Source organism: Homo sapiens, chromosome 11 (genome assembly GCF_000001405.40).
Source record: "Homo sapiens chromosome 11, GRCh38.p14 Primary Assembly".
In the NCBI taxonomy this organism is placed as follows: domain Eukaryota; kingdom Metazoa; phylum Chordata; class Mammalia; order Primates; family Hominidae; genus Homo; species Homo sapiens.
The window spans coordinates 16,613,277-16,633,335 of record NC_000011.10 but is presented as its reverse complement, the minus strand read 5'-3'; the positions used below and the strand labels follow the sequence as shown (position 1 = coordinate 16,633,335).

The 20,059-nt window shown below is 36.6% G+C and overlaps 1 protein-coding gene and 1 long non-coding RNA gene across 3 annotated transcripts in view; one reads left to right on the top strand and one right to left on the bottom strand.

Moving 5' to 3' along the window:
• SOX6 (SRY-box transcription factor 6) overlaps positions 1–20,059 on the top strand; it is a 772,029-nt gene that overhangs the window by 105,142 nt on the left and 646,828 nt on the right. The gene's annotated exons all lie outside the window — the stretch shown is intronic.
• Positions 1–20,059, bottom strand: part of LOC105376571 (uncharacterized) — a 42,807-nt gene that overhangs the window by 22,275 nt on the left and 473 nt on the right. The window contains exon 2 of one of the 2 annotated variants that reach the window (XR_931086.3): positions 18,836–19,621. The exons of the other annotated variant lie outside the window; for it this stretch is intronic. This is a non-coding gene — a long non-coding RNA (uncharacterized LOC105376571). The remainder of the gene's footprint in view (positions 1–18,835; positions 19,622–20,059) is intronic. 2 annotated transcript variants of the gene reach the window in all.

The window sequence follows — 20,059 nt, the reverse complement described above, 5'->3', positions numbered from 1 at the left end:
TTTAATTTAATTTTGCAGGTAGCATAGCATTGACAATAAAATGAATAAGTTAGTTCCAGGAAGTAAAAAACTGTGCTCAGTGTCACTTATGCAGTTTGATGGGAAAATTCTGAATAAATATTAGAAAACAACAAATTACAGTATTAAAAATACTATTTAGATCATGGTGTGGCAGGGCCCTCTCAACTCCATGTCCAGGTGGATATCCAGGCATTTGGAGCACCTGTTCTCCTGGTTCAGCAGCTTGACCCTACCCATCCCAGCTTTCCTGTGCAGAGATCCTGGTACAGGGAGGCCCTCTCCACTTCATGCCCAGGCAGATCCCCAGGAATTTGGAGCACCAGCTCACTTGGATCAACAGCCTGAGCAACCCTACCCTTCCTGTGCAGAGATCCTGGTGCAGGGAAGCCCTCTCTGCTGTATGCCCAGGCAGATCCTCAGGCATTCAGAGGATCTGCTTGCCTGGTTCAGAAGCCTGAGCCACTCCGCTCCTCCTGTGCAGAAATCTTGGTGCAGGGGGTCCCTCTCCACTCCACGCCTAGGCAGATCTCCGGACATCTGGACCACTCACTCTTTTGGATTAGGAATTTAGGCTGCACCCCATTCCTGTGCCAAAGAGGGCCGAGGAGGTTGCTTTGCTCCATGCTTAGGCAGACGTCTGAGTGCTTGGTGCTCACCTATTCGATTCTCCCTCAGTGCTGGTGCTTGTGCCTGCCCTCCGGGGACCTTTAGGCAGAGACCTGCCCAGTCTGACCCTGCCCATAGTGGCCCCTTCACCCTGCCCCAGGGCTGAGCAGGAAGCTCAGACCACTGCGCAGGAATCAGTCCAGTGCCTGAGGCAACAGAGAGCTTCGGCCAGTAAACAAGGAGGAAGTATGTACCCAGCTGTGTGGAAAAAAAATATTTTCCAGACAAGCTAAAAGCTGACTGTTATTGATAAGTGCCATCTACTGGCTTGTAGGTCAAACTGCACAGTCCAATACAAAACCTGCCCAAAGAAGTGCATGGGACTTTAGAAGCAAAGCCAGCAGACCTTGGGGGAAAGGGAAAGAAAAAACCCCCAGTAATGTAGGGAAAAAGAGAAAAAGAAAAAATCCTACCCACATGAAAATAATTACAAAAATTAGAAGTGTCAGTGTCTCCAGATGAGAAGGAACCAAAGGAAGAATTTTGGCACCATGAAAAATCTGAATGTAATGACACCACTAAAGGATCACATTAGCTCTCTAGCAATGGACCCTAACCAAAATGGAAACTCAGAAATGACAGATAAAGAATTCAAAGCATGGATTGCAAGGAAGCTCAATGAGATCCAAGACAAGGTTGAAAGTCAATGCAAATAAACTTCTCAAGCAATCCTAGAAACGAAGGAAGAGATAAGTGTCTTTAAAAAATAAATCAGAGCTTCTGCAATTGAAAAACTCACTTAAAGAATTTTGAAATACAATTGAAATCTTTATCAATAAACTGGACCAAGAAGAAGAAATAATTTCAGAGCTTGAAGACCAGTCTTTGTAACTAACCCAGTTAGACAAAAATAAAGAAAAAGAATTTAAAAAAAATGTACAAAGTCTTCAAGAAATATGGAATTATGTAAAGCAACCAAACCTATGAATTATTGGCATTTCTGAGAGATAAAGAGAAAAAGTAAACAATCTGGAATATATATTTGAGGGAATTATTTAAGAAAATTTCCCTAATCTTGCTAGAGAGGTAGACATCCAGATCCAAGAAATCCAGAGAACACCTGCCTAATACTATACAAAGTGAACTTTACCAAGGCATATTGTCACCAGACTGTCCAAGGTCAATGCTAAAGAAAAAATCTTAAAGGCAACTAGAGAAAGGTCATGTACAAAGGGAATCCCATCAGGCTAACAGTGGACTTTTCAGTAGAAACTTTACAAGCCAGAAGAAGTTGGGGGCCTATTTTCAGCATTCTTAAAGGAAAGAAATTCCAACCAAGAATTTCATGTCCTGTCAAAGTAGGCTTTATAAGTGAAAGAGAAATAAAAAATATTTTCCAGACAAGCTAACACTAAGTGAATTTGTTATCATTAGACCAACCTTACGGGAGATCCTTAAGGGAGTTTTAAACATGCATACAAAAGAATGATACCATCTACCACCAAAACACACTTAGGTACATAGCCTAAAGACCTTATAAAGCAACCACGCAATAGAAACTACAAAGCAACAAAGTAACAACCTTATGATAGGATCAAACCTCACATATCAATATTAGCCTTGAATGTAAATACTTTAAACCCCCCACTTAAAAGGCACAGAGTGGAAAGTTTGGATTAGAAAACAAGACTCATCTGTCTGCTGTCTTGAAGACACCCATCTCACACATAACAACATCCATAGGCTCAAAGTAGAGGGTTAGAGAAAGGTCTGTCATGCACATGGAAAACAATAAAGAATAGGGATCACTGTTCTTACATCAGATAAAACAGACTTCAAGCCAACCATAGTAAAAAAAGACAAAGAAAGGCATTATATAATGATAAAGGGTTCAATTCAACAAGAAGACTTAACTGTCCTACATATAACACATCCAATGGTGGAGCACTCAGATTCATAAAACAAGTACTTCTAGACCTATGAAAAGACTTAGACAGTTACACAATAATAGTGGGGAACTTCAACACCCTGACTGTCAGCATTAGACAGCACTGAGGCAGAAAACTAACAAATTTTAGACTTAAACTTGTCACTTGACCAACTGGACCTAATAGACATCTACAGAACAATCCACCCATCAACCACAGAGTATACAGTCTTCTCATCTGCATGTAGAACATACTCCAAGATCAACCACATGCTTGACCATAAAGCAAGTCTCAATAAATTAAAAAAAATCAAAATTATACCAACTATACTCTCAGACCACAGTGGAATAAAAATAGATGTGAATACCAAGAAGATCCCTCAAAAACACACACTTATAAGGAAATGAAACAACTTACCCCTGGATGACTTTTGGGTAAACAATGAAATTAAGGCAGAAATAAACACATTATTTGAAAAAAATGAAAACAGACACATAACATACCAAAATCTCTGGGATGCAGTAAAAGCAATGTTGAAAGGAAAGTTTATAGTGGTAATTGCCTACCTCAAAAAGTTAGCAAGATATCAAATTAATGATCTAACATTATACCTACAGGAACTAGAAAAACAAGAACAAACTAACCCCAAAGCTAGCAGAAGAAAAGAAATAATTAAAATCTGAGTGAAACTGAATGAAATTGAGACCCAAAAATCCATACAAAGAATCAACAAACTAAGAGCTGGTTATTTGAAAAGATAAAATTGATAGACCATTAGCTAGATTAACAAAGAAAAAAAAGATTCACATAAACTCCATCAGAAATGACAAAAGGTGACATTACAACTGATCCCACATAAATACAAAATATCCATAGAAAATATTATGAACATCTCTATGCACACAAACTATCAAATCTAGAGGAAATTGATAAATTACCAGAAACACACAACCTCCCATGATTGAATAACGAAGCAACTGAAACCCTGAACAGACCAAGATTGAGTTCTGAATTAGAATCAGTAATAAAAAGCCTACCAACCAAAAACAAAAAGCCTCAGCTGGATGGATTCACAGCTAAATTCTACTAGATGCACAAAGAAGAGCTGGTATCAATTCTACTAAAACTATCCCCAAAAATGGAGGAGGAAGGACTCCTTCCTATCTCATTCTATGAAGTAAGCATCACTCTGATACCCAAACCTGGCAAAGTCACAATGAAAAAATAAAACAATGAGCCAATATTCCTGGTGAGTATAGACACAAAAGTCTTCAAGAAAATAATAGCAAACCAAACCCAACAGTACATCAAAAAGTTAATTCACCACGATAAAAAGGTTTCATTTCTCAAATGCAAGGTTTGTTCAACAGACACAAATTAATAAATGTGATTCACCACATAAACAGAGTTAAAAACAAAAACTATATTATCATCTCAATAGATGTGGAAAAAGCTTTTGATAAAATCCAACATCGCTTCGTGGTAAAAATTCTCAAGAAACTAGGCATCGAAGGAACATACCTCAAAATAAAAAGACCCATCTATTACGCACCACAGCCAATGTCATGCTGGAATGGCAAAAACTAAAAGCATTCCCCTTGAGAACTGGAATAAGACAAGGATGCCCACTGTTATACCACTCCTATTCAACACAGTACTGGAAGTGTTAGCCAGAGCAGTCAGGCAAGAGACAGAAATGAAAGTCAACCAAATAGGAAAAGAAGAAGTCAAACTCTTTTCACAGATTATATGATTCTATACTTAGAAAAGCCTGAAGACTCTGGCAAAAGGCTCTTGGAACTGATAAACAACTTCAGTAAAGTTTCAGGATACAAAATCAACATACAAAAATCAGCATCATTTCTATACACCAATAATGTTCAAGCTGAGAGCCACTTACAGTAGTCATATCCAGGAAATATCTAGGAATATATCTAACCAAGGAGGTGAAGGAGCTCTACAAGGAGAAATACAAAACACTGCTAAAAGAAATCATAGATGACACAAATGGAAAAACATTTCATGCTCATGCATTGGAAGAATCAATATCGTTAAAATGGCCATACTGCTCAAAGCAACCTACAGATTCAGATTCATTGCAATCCCTATCAAAATACCAATGTCATTTTTCTTTTCTTTTCTTTCTTTTTTTTTTTTTTTGAGATGGAGTCTTGCTGTCGCCTAGGCTGGAGTGCAGTGGTGTGATCTCGGCTCACTGCAACCTCCGCCTCCTGGGTTCAAGAGATTCTTCCTCAGCCTTCCAAGTAGCTGCGACTACTGGTGTATACCACCATACCCAGCTAATTTTTTTGTATTTTTAGTAGAGATGTGGTTTCACCATATTGGCCAGGCTGGTCTCCACCTCCTGACCTCAAGTGATCCACCCACCTCGGCCTCCTAAAGTGCTGGGATTGCAGGCGTGAGCAACCATGCCCGGCCCCAATGTCATTTTTCACGGAACTAGAAAAGACTATTTTAAAGTTCATATGGAACCAGAAAAGAGCCCAAGTAGCCAAAGCAATCTTAAGAAAAAAGAACAAAGCTGGAGGCATCACATTACCTGACTTCCAACCATACTATAAGGCTACAGTAACCAAAACAGCATGGAACTGCCATAAAAACAGATTCATAGACCAATGGAACAAAATAGAGAACTCAGAAATAAAGCCACATACCTACAACCATCTGATCTTTGACAAAATTGACAAAAATAAGCAATGGGGAAAGGACTCCCTATTCAATAAGTGATTCTGGGATAGCTGGCTAGTCATATGCAGAATGAAACTAAACCTATACCTTTCACCATATATAAAAATTAACTCAAGATGGATTAAATATTTAAATATAAGACCCTAAAGTACAAGAAACCTAGAAGAAAACCTAGGAAACACCATTCTGGACTTCAGCCTTGCTAAAGAATTTATGACTAAGTCCTCAAAAGCAATTGCAACAAAAACAAAAATTAACAATTGGGACGTAATTAAACTGAAGAGCTTCTGCATGCAAAATAAACTATCAACAGAGTAAACAGACAGCCCACAGAATGGGAGAAAATATTTGCAAACTATGCATCCAACAAATGTCTAATATCCAGAATCCAGAAGGAGCTTAAACAATTGAACAAGGAAAACACAAATAACCCCCTTAAAAATGGGGAAAAGACGTGAACAGACACTTCTCAAAAGAAGGCATACAAGTGGCCAAAAAACGTGAAAAAATGCTCCACATCAGTGATCATCAGAGAAATGCAAATTAAAACCACAATGAGATATCATCTCATACAAGTTGGAATGGCTATTATTAAAAAGTTAGAAAACAACAAATGCTGGCGAGGCTTATACGTTGTTGGTGGAGATGTAAATTAGTTCAGCTATTGTGAAGAGCAGTTTGGAGATTTCTCAAAGAACTTAGAAGTATGATTCAACCCAGCTATCCCAATACTTGGTGTACATCTAAAAGAAAACAAGTTATTCTACCAAAAAGACACAAGCACTTGCATCTTCACTGTAGCACTGTTCACAATAACAAAGACATGTAACCAATCTAGGTGCCCATCAACGGTGGACTGGATAAAGAAAATGTGGTATGTATACAACATAGAATACTATGTAGCCATAAAAAAGAATGCAATCATGTCCTTTGCAGCAACATGGATGTAGCTGGAGGTCATTATCCTAAGCGAATTAACACAGGAATAGAAAACCAAATACCACCTGTTCTCACTAATAAGTGGGAGTTAAATATTGAGTACACATGTACATAAAGATTCCAGTAATAGAAACTGGGACTACTAATGTGAGACGGGAGGGAGGTGGGAATGGGTTGAAAAACTATTGGGTATTATGTTCACTGCCTGGGTGATGGGATAATTTGTACCCCAAACCTCAGCATCACGCAGTATGCCCAGGTAACACACCTGCACATGTATCTCCTGAATCCAAAATAAAAGTTGGAAAAAATAAATTTAAAAAATACTGTTATAATAACATCCAGACATAAAATACATAGGGATATATTTAATGAAATATGATTAAGACCTCTGCATTGAATATACAGAACATTGCTGAGAAAATTTAAAGATGATCTAACTGGAGAGACACGCTATTTTCACAGACTGAAAAAGTTGGTGGTGTTAAATATCAATTTTCTCAAAATTTATCTATAGATTAAATAAAATCCCAATAAAAATCCCAGCAGGCTTTTTTGAGGGTAAAAGTTGACAAGCTGATTCTAAAATTTATATGTAATTGAAAGTGTCCTAAAATAACAACAACCAAAAAGAATAAATTTGGAGGACTTAAACTTTCTGACTTCAAGACTTAGTGTAATGTTATGGTAATCAAGACAGTGTAGTATTTATGTGTAGACAGGCAACTGGAACAGAATAGAGGGTTCAGAAATAGATCCACATTTATGTTGTCAATTGATTTTCAACCAAAGTGCCAAAGCAATTCCAAAGAAAATGATAGTCTAAAAAATGCTGTCAGAACAACTGGCTATCTGTATGGGGAAAAAAAATGAGCTTCGCCTGTTGGAAGTAAAACTCCTGTTTCCATCACTACTCTATGTCTACTCTGAATAGCTCACTTCTGACACCAGATGTGTGGGTTTTATTTTTCCCACACCAAGCAATTCTCCACTTTTCAGCAGACATTGAGTGGGTGTCCTAGCATGTAATTCAGTTATGAGATGATCTACCTAGAGATTATATCAGCTTCCATAGGTTAAGAGTTCAATCCCAAAAAACTGCCACCACCTCAGACACCAGTTGTAAATCCAGGTTGCATTTGTGCTCCTCTGACCAGCCTGCTGTAAATCAGAAGTTCCCACAACCCCATCCTTTGGTTCAATAATTTTCTAGAATGGCTCACAGAACTCAGGAAAATAGTTTACTTACTAGATTACTGGTTTATTATAAAACCATACAACTTAGAAATAGCCAGATGGAAAAGATGCACAGGGAAAGGGTGTGGAGCTCTTACGCCCTCTTAAGGGTGCCACCCTCTGAGCACCTTCATGTGTTTACCAATCTGGAAGTTCTCCAAACCCAATCTTTTAGGGATTTTTGGGAAGGCTTCACTACATAGGCATGATGAACTATTAATTCAATTCCTATCCCCCATTCCTTCCCCAGAGGAAGGGGTATAGGACTAAAATTTCAAAGCTTCTAATCATGGCTTGGTATTTCTGGTGAGCAGTCTCAATCCAGGAGCCCATCAGGAGTCACCTTGTTAGAACAAAAGATGCTCCTCTCACACAGAAAACGTCAAGCGGTTTAGGAACTCTGTTGTTAGGAACCAAGGTTAAAGATGAAGTATTAGAACAAAAGATGCTCCTAGCACTCCTACCTCTTAAGAAATTACAAGAGGGCTTTAGGAGCCCTGTATCAGGAACTGGGGGCAGAGACCAATATACGGATTTCATCTTATTTCACACTCGTACATCACACTATACAAAAAAATTAATTAAAGATGGCTAGGGACTTTAATGTAAAGTCTTTTATGTGAAAGATAAAACTATAAAATCTCTAGATGAAAACATAAGAGGCTACTTTTGCAATCTTGCAACATCAATACAAGATAATGGAATTTGTTTTTTAGACAGGACCTAGAAAACTAGTGATAAAAGAAAAAAACTAATAATGTGGACTTTATCAAAATTAAAAACATCTACTCATCAAAATACATTGTTAAGAGAATGAATAGAGGAGTCACAGCCATGGAGAAAATATTTGCAAAAACATGTCTGGCAAAGGTCTTGTATTCAGAATTATAAGCAATTCTACAACTCAATAAAATTAGACAATCAACCCTCCCCCCACCAAAAAAAGATCAAAGACCTTGAATAGGCATCTCAAAAAGTATTATACACAAATAGTTAATAAATATATGAAAAAGTGCTCAATGTCATTAGTGTCTGGAGAATTAAAACTAAAACACATCCTCTAGAATGGCTAATATTTTTAAAAAACTGACCAAACAAACTGGACAATATCAAATATAGGTAAAATGCGAGGCAATTGAAATTCTCATACATTGCTGGTGGGAATATAAAATGATATGACCACTTTGGAAATTGGTTTGGCAACTTGTAAAGTTAAACATAAATCTAATTAAAATCTAGAAATTCCACTCTAAGATTTTTACCTGAGAAAACATGTTTACAAAAACATTTGTACAAGAATGTTTATAGCAGTTTTATTCATATTAGCCAAAACTGGAAACAATTCAAATGTTCATCAATGCAGGCTGATAAATAAATGGTCATATATACATAGAATGGGATACTACTCAAAATTAAAAATGGGCCGGGCACGGTGGCTCATGCCTGTAATCCCAGCACTTTGGGAGGCAGATCGTGAGGTCAAGAGATCGAGATCATCCTGGCCAACATGGTGAAACCCCATCTCTACTAAAAACACAAAAATTAGCTGGGGGTGGTGGCACGCACTTGTAGTCCCAGCTACTTGGGAGGCTGAGGCAGGAGAATCGTTCAAACCCGGAAGGCAGAGATTGCAGTGAGTTGAGATCATGCCACTGCACTCCAGCCTGGCAACAGAGCAAGACTCCATCTCAATAAATAAATAAATAAATAAAATAAAAAAATAAAAATCTTTCACTGAAATGCATGACAGCATGGATGAAATTCAAAACATTCTGTTGAGTAAACAAAGCTATATTCAAGAGTACATAATGAATTTATATGAAGAACAAGAATTTGTAATGAACAAGAATAGGCAAAACTAATCTACTGTGATAGCAATCACAATGATGATTGCCTCCGAAGGGGTAGGTGTTGACTGAGAAGGGGCAGGAGATATCTTTTTGGGATGATGGAAATCTTCGATATCTTGATAGTTTGGGTTTATATAGATGTATAGTTTTATAAAATAGATTAATAAATCAGAACACAAAGGCAAGAAACAGACCAATATAGACATGGAGACTTCATATAGATAGTGGTGGCAAGTCAACAATTGGTGCTGGGATAACTGGCAAGCCACATGTAGAAGAATGAATTTGGATCCTCATCTCTCACCTTATACAAAAATCAACTCAAGATGGATCAAAGACTTAAATCTAAGACGTGAAACTGTAAAAATTCTAGAAGATGACATCAGAAAAACCCTTCTAGACACTGGTTTATGTAAAGAGTTCATGACCAAGAAACCAAAAGCAAATGCGACAAAAACAAAGATAAATAGATGGGACTTAATTAAACTCGAAAGCTTCTGCACAACAAAAAACACAATCAGTGGGGTAAACAGACAACCCACTGAGTGGGAGAAAATCTTCACAATCTATACATCTGACAAAGGACTAATATCCAGAATCTACAAGGAATTCAAACAAATTAGCAAGAAAAAAAAATCCCATAAAAAAGTGCCCTAAGGACATGAATAGACAATTCTCCAAAGAAGACATACAAATGGCCAACAAACATATTAAAAAATGCTCAGCAGCTGGACACAGTGGCTCACGCCTGTAATCCTAGCACTTTGGGAGGCTGAGGTGGGTGGATCACCTGAGGTCAGGAGTTCGAGACTAGTCTGACCAACATGGTGAAACCCCGTCTCTACTAAAAATGCAAAAATTAGTCAGGCGTGGTGGCGCGCCCCTGTAATCCCAGCTACCCGAGAGGCTGAGGTGGGAGAACTGCTTGAACTTGGGAGGTGAAGGTTGCAGTGAGCAGAGATCAAGCCACTGCACTCCAGGCTGGGTGACAGACTGAGACTCCATTAAAAAAAAAATGCTCAACATCACTAATGACCAGGGAAATGTAAATCAAAACCACAATGCAATACTACCTTACTTTTTTAGGAATGGCCGTAATCAGAAAACAAAACAAACAAAAAGAAATAGATGTTAGTGTGGATATGGTGAAAAGAGAACATTTTTACACTGCTGGTAAACTAGTACAACCACTATGAAAAACAGTGTGGAGATTTCCTAAACAACTAAAAGTAGAACTACCATTTGATCCAGCAGTCTCACTGCTGGGTATCTATCCAGGGGAAAAGAAGTCATTATACGAAAAAGAGACTTGCACATGCATGTTTATAGCAGCACAATTCACAATTGCAAAAATATGGTACCAGCCCAAACACCCATCAGTCAATGAATGGATAAAGAAATTGTGGTTTATATATGATGGAATACTACTCAGTCATTAAAAGGAATAAAATGATGGCATTCACAGCAAGCTGGATGGAATTGGAGACCATTATTGTAAGCAGAGTAACTCAGGAATGGAAAACCAAACATCGTATGGTCTCACTCATAAGTGGGAACTAAGCTATGAGGATGCAAAGACATAAAAATGATACAGTGGACTCTGGGAACTCAGGTAAAAGGGTGGGAGGGGATGAGGGTTAAAAGACTACACATTGGGTACAGTGTACACGGCTCAGGTGGTGGGTGTACCCAAATCTCAGAAATCACCACTAAAGAACTTATTCATGTAACCAAACACTACCTGTTCCCCAAAAACCTATTGAAATAAATAAAATAAATCAGTATACACAAAAGCTTAAAATATACTTATGAGCACATTATTAGAAATGTGGAGCTAAATACCAAAAGTAACACTTAAAAGACTTGACAGTGATTGCCTTTGGGTCATATGAATGAGGGTGGGGAAAGGTGTGGTAGAGGTCCATTGTCACACATAAGCTTTTCAATAAAATTGAATTTTTTACTTTTTGCAAGCATTACTTTAAGAAAAGTAAAATCAATTAAAAATAAAAGGCATCCACAAGATGACCTAGCAATGCTCTGTTACTGATTTTTACAAATAAGTGAAAATAAGTATATTTTTAGGACCTAAAAGAAATCAGGCCTGAGCAAAAAATGAGTCAAATCAGATAACTTGACAGCAGGTCTGTAAGAAATATCAAGATTTTTGTCTCTCTTTCTGATAGAATTTCATGAGAATCTTTGCATATATGCATTCTTAGGATGTCTCCTATGAGGAATGCTTTTATTTTCTCAATTGTAAATACAGAAGCAGTTGTTAGGAGATAGGAATGACTTAGAATGAAGGCTTATTAATAGATATGCTATAGGACACCACAAACTTGGAAACCTGAAAAAAATTCTGCAGTTGAATGATTTGTATAAATAATTTTAATAGTTGATTTATTAAACTCTATGCTAGTCTCTTGTTTAGCATAGTATCTACATGTACATAGCCAATGAATACAAAACTATACTTTTAAGACGATCTAATACTCTAGCTCATCTTTATGTACAACACTATACTCTCAGGAAAAATGAGATATTACTCACTCCCACTATTTGTAGGTTGTATATTTTTCTTGTGACATTTGAATGACCATGACAGTCAATGTATTCCATGCAATTGTTGGAATGACTTGGAATGGTTGTAAACTGTACACTCATGGAATGCAGATACCATGGTTCTTTTTCTTACTCTTCTTATATCTTAGCACCCACACCTATACATTTGGAAGTAGCTCAGATAAATTGTTCTTAGTTCTTTCATTTTAGGATTTTTAGTTTACCTTAAGGACATTAGAAAATAAATACAGACATCACAAGGAGTACATGAGCCCTCCTTGTGTAACTGTAAGTGTTAACTGTTATATGTATAACTTTGCTTGTGAAATATTGTAACAAACAGACCAAAAACAAGTTTCCTAATTACAGGACACCTCTTATGTAAGTTTACAAATACTGTTCATCTTGGTAGAAAAAAATCTCCATGCTCTTCCAAATATAGGCACACAAATGAAAGCAGAATGAGAAAGTTCACATTTTGGGTGCTTAGATTTGTCAAATGATAAAAGGGAAATAGTATTTTTAATAACTGCACAGAAGAAATTTGTGAAACAGTAGGAAATAAAATAAGAACAAGTCCACAAAATTGTGATAGTTGGTGGCTGTAGTGGCTCAAATAAAATTATGGCAAAAAAGGTTAATGAATTAAAAAAGAGCAGGCCCTGTACCTATTCTCCTAGGTCCAATTGATATGGCCCTATTCCAGGAAAGGTGGGTTGGTACTTCATTTTTCTATTGCTGTATTTGGAAAAATCACAAAATTGCTGAAATTCTGGGTCAAAAGACTACAAGGTAAAATAATTATATATGATCACCTATCTCATGTAGACATATATAGTTTTATTGATATTAAATATAACTACTTGATTTTGATGAAAACCTTGAATACATCTTGTACTTAAAGAGTTTTCCAAGCCAGGCATGGTGGCATGGGCCTGTAGTCCCAGCTACTCAGGAAGCTTGAGGCAGTAATCCCTGGAGTCTGATTCCAACCAGGGCAACATAATGTAGGGTTTTCCAGTGCTGATGATTATAGTGTGTTTCACTGCCTGCCATCCAGGAAGTCCTTGTAATTTTTTATATCGTCATGCCCAGATAGATAACATATACTCATATGAAAAAACCAGTGATACATTAAATCTCTTATTGGCTTTGCAAAATCATTTCTTAAACGTTAATGGATAAAATGTTATTCTAACAAAAGCTATTTTAAAAAGAGAATAGAAACAAACATTGGAATCCCACTCATAAAATTTAGACTTAAGAGATTTTGTACTAGTACTGATTTTGAAAACCAAAGTAGTTTTACAAATTTCTCCTTGTCTATTAAACCTGAGCTGTAATGGTAGGATAATAGAAGTCTACTGGTGATTTTTAACAATCTTTTAGCTAATATAATATCAAGGACTAAATGTTGCTGGTTCAAAGTAATTTCTTTGTTCCTTATGTTTAAGTAATAATGGTCTTTATATAAATTGTAATGCTCATGTAAATAATCAGCTTACATTTAAAAAACTCTTAATAGAATAAAGTCAAATACATCAATATGTTTTACTCTTTATTATAATTTGGGAGATAGTTGAAACTTAACAGTGAAATACATTCAATTTCAATAATAATATCCACATAAATAAATGCCCATGGGTGGTGAATGTTGAATAAAAATTATAAGGACAAGTAATTATTTTATGTTGCATTTTTTCATGTTAAATGAAATTTTAGTTTTGAAATGTAAATGTGTTAGTATATTCAGAAATTTTTCCTAATTAGATATTTTTGCTCAGTTTGTGCTAATCCAGGTACCGTTACATATTGTACCACTTGCTTAATTTTCCTTCTCTCTTTGTTTAAAAATTATCTTTTCCTTTTAGACTAATATAAAAGTATCAGAAGTAAATTTAGAAAATAACTCTTCTAGGCAATAGAAACACCATATTTCTGTCATTTATTAGACTATACTTATTCCCTGCTGAATAAAAATGAAAGACATCGTGGATAATAACCAAAATTAGAATTTATTTGGTTTCTCTAGTGGATACCAAATATGCAGTTACTAGGCATGGGGCAGGAGATTAATGCCTCATGAAGAAGATTCATCATTTTGAGTAAAGAAAAATACCCAAATGACTATTTTAAAACTTAAACATTAAAAAAAAAAGCACAGAGCATGGTGCCTGGTTCAATAAATAATAATATCAAGGACAAACATCAGTGATTTTTAGTTTCTTTTCTTTTTTTTTTTGGTAATACGGGCTCATGATTATCACATCCAACTCTTGAAATATTCATTTGACATTATCTTAGATATAATCTTAGCTAGCTAGTAGTGTTATTGTCTGGTAAAGTCACACGATTTTCAGTTTTATCATTATATTTTCTCACAATGGTGATGTAGTAGTTAATGTGGTCTTCAACTTCGTAGACAGCTAACACCTGGCTTACTGAGACTAACACTTTCACACCAATAAGTAAAACTTGGTAAGATGGATTGTCTACTGCACAGATCTTATGCTGTAGTTATAGAGTTAAGAAGTCCTTGTTATTATGAATGTGCATTATGAGTATATTGTACACAGTCCTGGTATGCAAATGTGTAGCATTCAGAGAAGTGAAATAATTCTGTGTTATTATTATCTTTGTAAATTACATCTTAAGAGTTTTTGAGGACTTTATGATGGCAGTCTTCTATAGTCACAGTCATACAGTATGTGCAGCACAAAGTGTTTTCTTTCACTATTAACAATAACTAAGCCAATGAAAATGCTTTTTAAATATACACCCGGCAAGCAGTTATCCGGCTCTTCCTTCTTACTATCCACAAACCATCTTTTATCGTCTTTTAAGACCGCATACGAAACAGCTTTGTAAACATCTGTTTTTCATTGTTAATTGTCAGGAAAACTGGAATTTAAATGCTTCTTTGGAATCCTCCTAATCCTATCAAGGAGAATAAGTTGCATATGTTTATCTTTTCTTCTGTAGACTGCTCCTTTAGACTTCATTAAAAAAAATACTCACATAGTATTCATTCACTTTCTAAAAATTACTTTTAAGACAATATTTCAATAGATATTTTGAGGATATTGCTTTGTAGTAATTAGTTGAAATTATTGGCAACATGGGCTATATTATATGTTAAAAAGATGCATGATAAATATAGACTTAAGTCTAATGTGTCTTTTCAAATCATTTTCAGAGTTTTCTTGGGCATATTCCATATTGAAATGTGCAATAAAAGAAAATATAAAGAATAGGTACTTGGTAGCTAAATAACAAATTAATTTTGAGCTCCAAATCTTCAGCCATAATTATTCTTTAGGAAATATATGCTTTATTTTCACAGGCTTTTTCTGTTCCAATAATCAAGCCATTAATGTCAACAGAATATCTCTCACAGTGATATACTAAGAAGGCTTTTGCAATAATACAGTGTGATTTCCTTCTAAATGAAAAGGATCTCTTGCAATAATTACTTTAAAAATATTAAAGTTCTGCTCTAGTTGTTCTGAATTTATAATGTAAAAGCAAATGCACCTATCTCTCAAGAACAGAAAGAGCATCCATAATTTAATAATTAAGTAATGTAATAACCAATAATTTTTCTTACCTATAAATAGACCTAAATAACAAGAGTATGGAATATTAAGAGAAGTGGTTGGTTGTTAGTAAAAACTTTTTTTTCAGAATGTACTCTTAAAATGTTTTGTAATCTTTATTAAATTGCTATCTTTTTCATGCCATTGGAATGCATTGTGAATTTTTGTTTTTAAAAGGCTCGTACTCTATTTCTAAACGGGTAGAAATTGGAAACTTACTGTTCACTGTTTATATCTGCTTTTCAGTTTCTGCTTTTCAAACTTGTATTGAAGTGATGTAGAACTAGGCCTTATCACTGCATATAAAATTAATTGAAATGACATATTGTTGCAGTTTCTATGACAACCATATCATGATGCTGATGCTCTTAAAAATATCTGAAATATGCTAATTCTAGTGAACATAGTTAACACTTATTTGCTTAATATTCAATTTAGTACTAAACTTCATCAACTTTGAAAGTAGGTTGATAACATATTGTGTGCAATTAAAAGAGGTTTTTGTATTGAGCTGTTGAGTTTAGTATTTTCCCCCAAAAGCCTACTATTCTAGAACTTTAAGCGTGAATAAGTGAAGCTTTTCATTTGTTATTATCTTAAACAAACATGAATGAACATGAGGATGATCATTGTTGCAGATTTACGCTATTGTTTTCTTCCTCCCTTCCCCCATTTTAAACATAATATGTTCAAACTCATAGAAAACATTCTGATGAAAGTGTAAAAATTCAACAAAACCCAATGAGCTATTTATATAATAGCAAACATCCAGATACTTGGGAACACTGACTTATTTTTTAGCTTTCATTTGTTTGTTTGAATTTGGGAAGATAACATCTCTATCTTGTATGTATCATTATGATACATGCTAAAGACATAAAACTTAGCAAGTTATAGAATAACTTTGCATAGCAATTATATTAAACACTTTGACTTGAAATACAGTTTCAGTCTTCTTTTAGAACTGATTTAAAATTAAAAGATGTTGTTTGGAACTGGCTTATAAGTATACATCCTATTTTTAAGTAAAGGTTTTTTATAGATATATCATTTGATAAGTCAGAAAACTTATTTTTAGAAATGTATACAATTTGTTGGTTAATAAAAATAACAGGTAATTTCAATAGTATGTGCCAAATAGAATGAAATATCATCTTGTGGAATTATCAAATATTGAACAGGATGCTTCTGCTGGCATATTTAATAAAAATTAATTTTCAGTATATATGCAATAGATTTTGAATTAATATCTATTATAAAAGTAAAAAGATAAATCCACAGTTAACATACTTTTCATTATTTGTTTTGCACATACTAGGCACTCAGTAAATATTTAAGCATGAATAAAATTGTGGAAAACAAGCAAAGTCTCCAATATGATTGTAATGTTAAAAAAAATACGCACACAAAAGAAATCCTGTATTTAGAAATTTAAAAAATAGTATGGGATTCCAAAGAAGATTTTTAAGTAACAAATTTTAAAATTAGAGAATTTAGTCAAATTTAGTTTTAAACACAATGCTAACAAATAATAAAACAAACTGCTGAGGTAAACTATCAAATTTTTAAAGACTAGTAATAAGTTATTGTTTCATATTTATTGGTGGGAAGTTTTACAGCATTACTTTTGTGTTCCTTCTTTGTCTTTTATTAGGTATTGGAAAGGATCTATACTGATTTACCAAATTTTTCTAGGCGGGCTAAAATGTATAATGAATGATATGGTAATCATCTTTGTGAATGGCCAACCTCAGATTTGGGAAGAGGCAAGTGGGTCTATAAATGGAGAAAGGCATGTATGAAGGAATGCGCAAGCTTTAACATTACTTGATGGTGAAAAGATAACACAGTATCTCAGAAGGATATTATCATGAGGGGTACTTTGAATTTTAGTGACTAAAGTTTATTTCTGTGGTTATTATCCTATAACCCTTATATTTTTCCTTTCTGTGTTTTATTGTGATAATCATACTTACTTGTGTAATTATTTAGATAACTTTCAGTTCAAAAAAATTCCAAAATTCTGTGTATCATTGTAAGAGAAACAGTTAGATGATGGATAGAAATTTCACTTTTCATCTGGATGTTTCAGAAGTGTTAGTTTTGGCCGCCTTAAGCAATAAAGCAACGATTACCTTAATAAATAGATATATTTTCAGATAGCACTTCAAAAATATTAGGTCTGGTATTGTTAAAAATATAGCTGACATGTATGTTTTTTGGGAAATTGGTAGGAGTTTACAATGTTCTGGTTTCTATCACATTATTTATGGTGGTTTCATTTCCTTATATTTTGCCATTCAATATTCTGTTTATGGTAAAATGGAGAATATAGACTGAATAGTGACAACTCCTATGTTGTAGAATTTTTGATTAAAAATAATGGAATTGGTCCCTGACTGCACATGTGATTTGTGTTCCAGTTTTGTAGTCACTGGATTTGTTTAATTCCTACCCTGGCTTAGTTTCTGCCAGTTATGTTAAACTTCATGTGTATATTTTTTCCATTTAAGATAAAATGAACTGCCAGGATTATGTATGGCAAAACCAAGAGCGCTCTGAGTTAAGGCTCTCAGGACATTGTACAAGTCTAATGTTCTTGTATGAGGTTGGCCTACCCCACTGCAACTAAGAAATGAGATGATTTGAGGACTATTACATACTTAAGGTTTTCATAGTGGATTAGAATAGCATTACTTAGCACAGGTGTTTCTATAATTGGGATTCCCTGGGAAACTTCAGTACTGTTCTCGGTAACATTCAGCTTTCCACATAAATGGAAGAGCTATCCAATGTTAATTTGATAGGCTGTGGCATGAAACAGGGAGTGGGGTCCGGCTTGGGGGCCTGTTGCTTCTTTTATTGGAGAAGACATTTCTTGTTGTCCATTAGCATCGGGTTGCTGTGGCTATATTTTTAATTTTTAATTTATACCATTATTTATTTATTGTTGACCAAAATACTGAATGGGCACGGCCAAAGTCAGCCAGGGCTGATTTATGCTCATATAAAACAAAATAGTTCCCTAGTGTCCCATTTTCTTGAAATAAATAGAATTCTTCTCAATTTATAAAGTATATTTAAATAATGTCTATGCATCCAAGTAGCAGGGAAATGACTGAGGAACCCATGGGGCACAGTTCACCGAGGAGGACCTACGGTGTGGCCTTGCAGATGTCCCCAAGCCTTGGAGGCAGTGACCAGGAGTAACAAAGAACAACCGCGATAAATTATTTCAGGATTTAGCTAGGAGGTTCTTAAGCCTGGCATTCTTTTAGTGCAAGGCGTGAATATAGGAAGAACGGTGAGCGAAAAAGGCTTCCATAGGGGTAGGAATGGGAAAATAGAAAATCATTGATATAATTAATAATCATTATTATTTTACCTAATCCATTGTTAGACACTCAGAAGGACTGATTTCCTGAGAAATGGGCGACTATAGAGCTGGGAAATGTTCAGCTCTCGCAGCAGGCGGCCGGGCTGCCTGAACGTCCTTCTCTTGCACGCAATTCTCGTCTCGGAGACCTCCGTTTGTGACCTTGGGTCTGGCCGCGTCCCTGAGTCCCTTTGTCTACTGTTCCGAAGGTGGAGAGGAAGCGGGAGATGAGTCCCAGGGAGTACGGAGTCAGCTCTGAGCCGAGGTCACCGCAGAAGGGAGCTCGGTCTTCGGCCAGGACCGGAGCAGTTGGTATGCCTCTTCGAAGCTGCCCCCACCCTCTGCCACTGCCCTGGGAGTTAGTGTTTGGAGTTTCGGAGCCGCAGCCCCTGACTTGGAGCTGCAGACTCTTTGGCCCGAAGCTTTATACTTTGCTGGGAGAGTTCGCCTTCGCTCGATTCCCGGCTATTGGTTTCAGCTAGTTGGAAGTTTTAGCTCTCACTCCTGTCAGCCCGAGTCTCTGAGGGCAGACGGCGCCTAGCGTGGCCCGCCCGCCCGCAGGGCGCCCTCCCTTTGCTTCTCTTTCAGGCGGTCCCGGGAGGTCGCCAAGGCTGCTGGGCCAGTGTCAGCTGGGTTCGTCTCTACAGCCCCTAGCTGGGCGCAGTCTTCCCCTCGACCTCAAGGTGGCGACTTAGGCACGTAAACAAAGCTCGGCCAAGCCTGACCGCCGGCATCCTCGCAGTTCATCCACGGAACAGTCTAGTTTCCCCGATGCTCTGGAGCGGGCTGAATTGACTGTAAAGGGACTTCCGTTTAGATGAGGAGTTCGGCCAGAATTTCAGAATACGCGCGTGTCTGTGTGTGTGCGTGCGTGTGTGTGTGCTCGTGGGTCCGCGCGCGCGCGTGGAGGCAGCGGGAAGTGGTGATGGGGTGGAAACCCTTGGCCGAACCCGTTTGGGACGCCGCGAGCCTCCTCTCCATCACCTGAGCCCTCAGGCCGAGCGACCCAGCGGGCTGGGGCTTCGGAACCACTCTGCACCGAGAGATGTCTCAGAGTGCGCAACTGGCAAGACAGAGGCTCTGGTTGCCGCCGCCAGCGGTAGAAGATTTGCTAATCTCGTTTTAGTGACACCCATAATTTATGAGTGGAGAGACCTGAAAAATAAAGCCCCCGCCGTGTTTGTGCCCTTCTCCAGGGTGCATGCCGGCTGATCTGAGTGGCAGGGGTAGTTG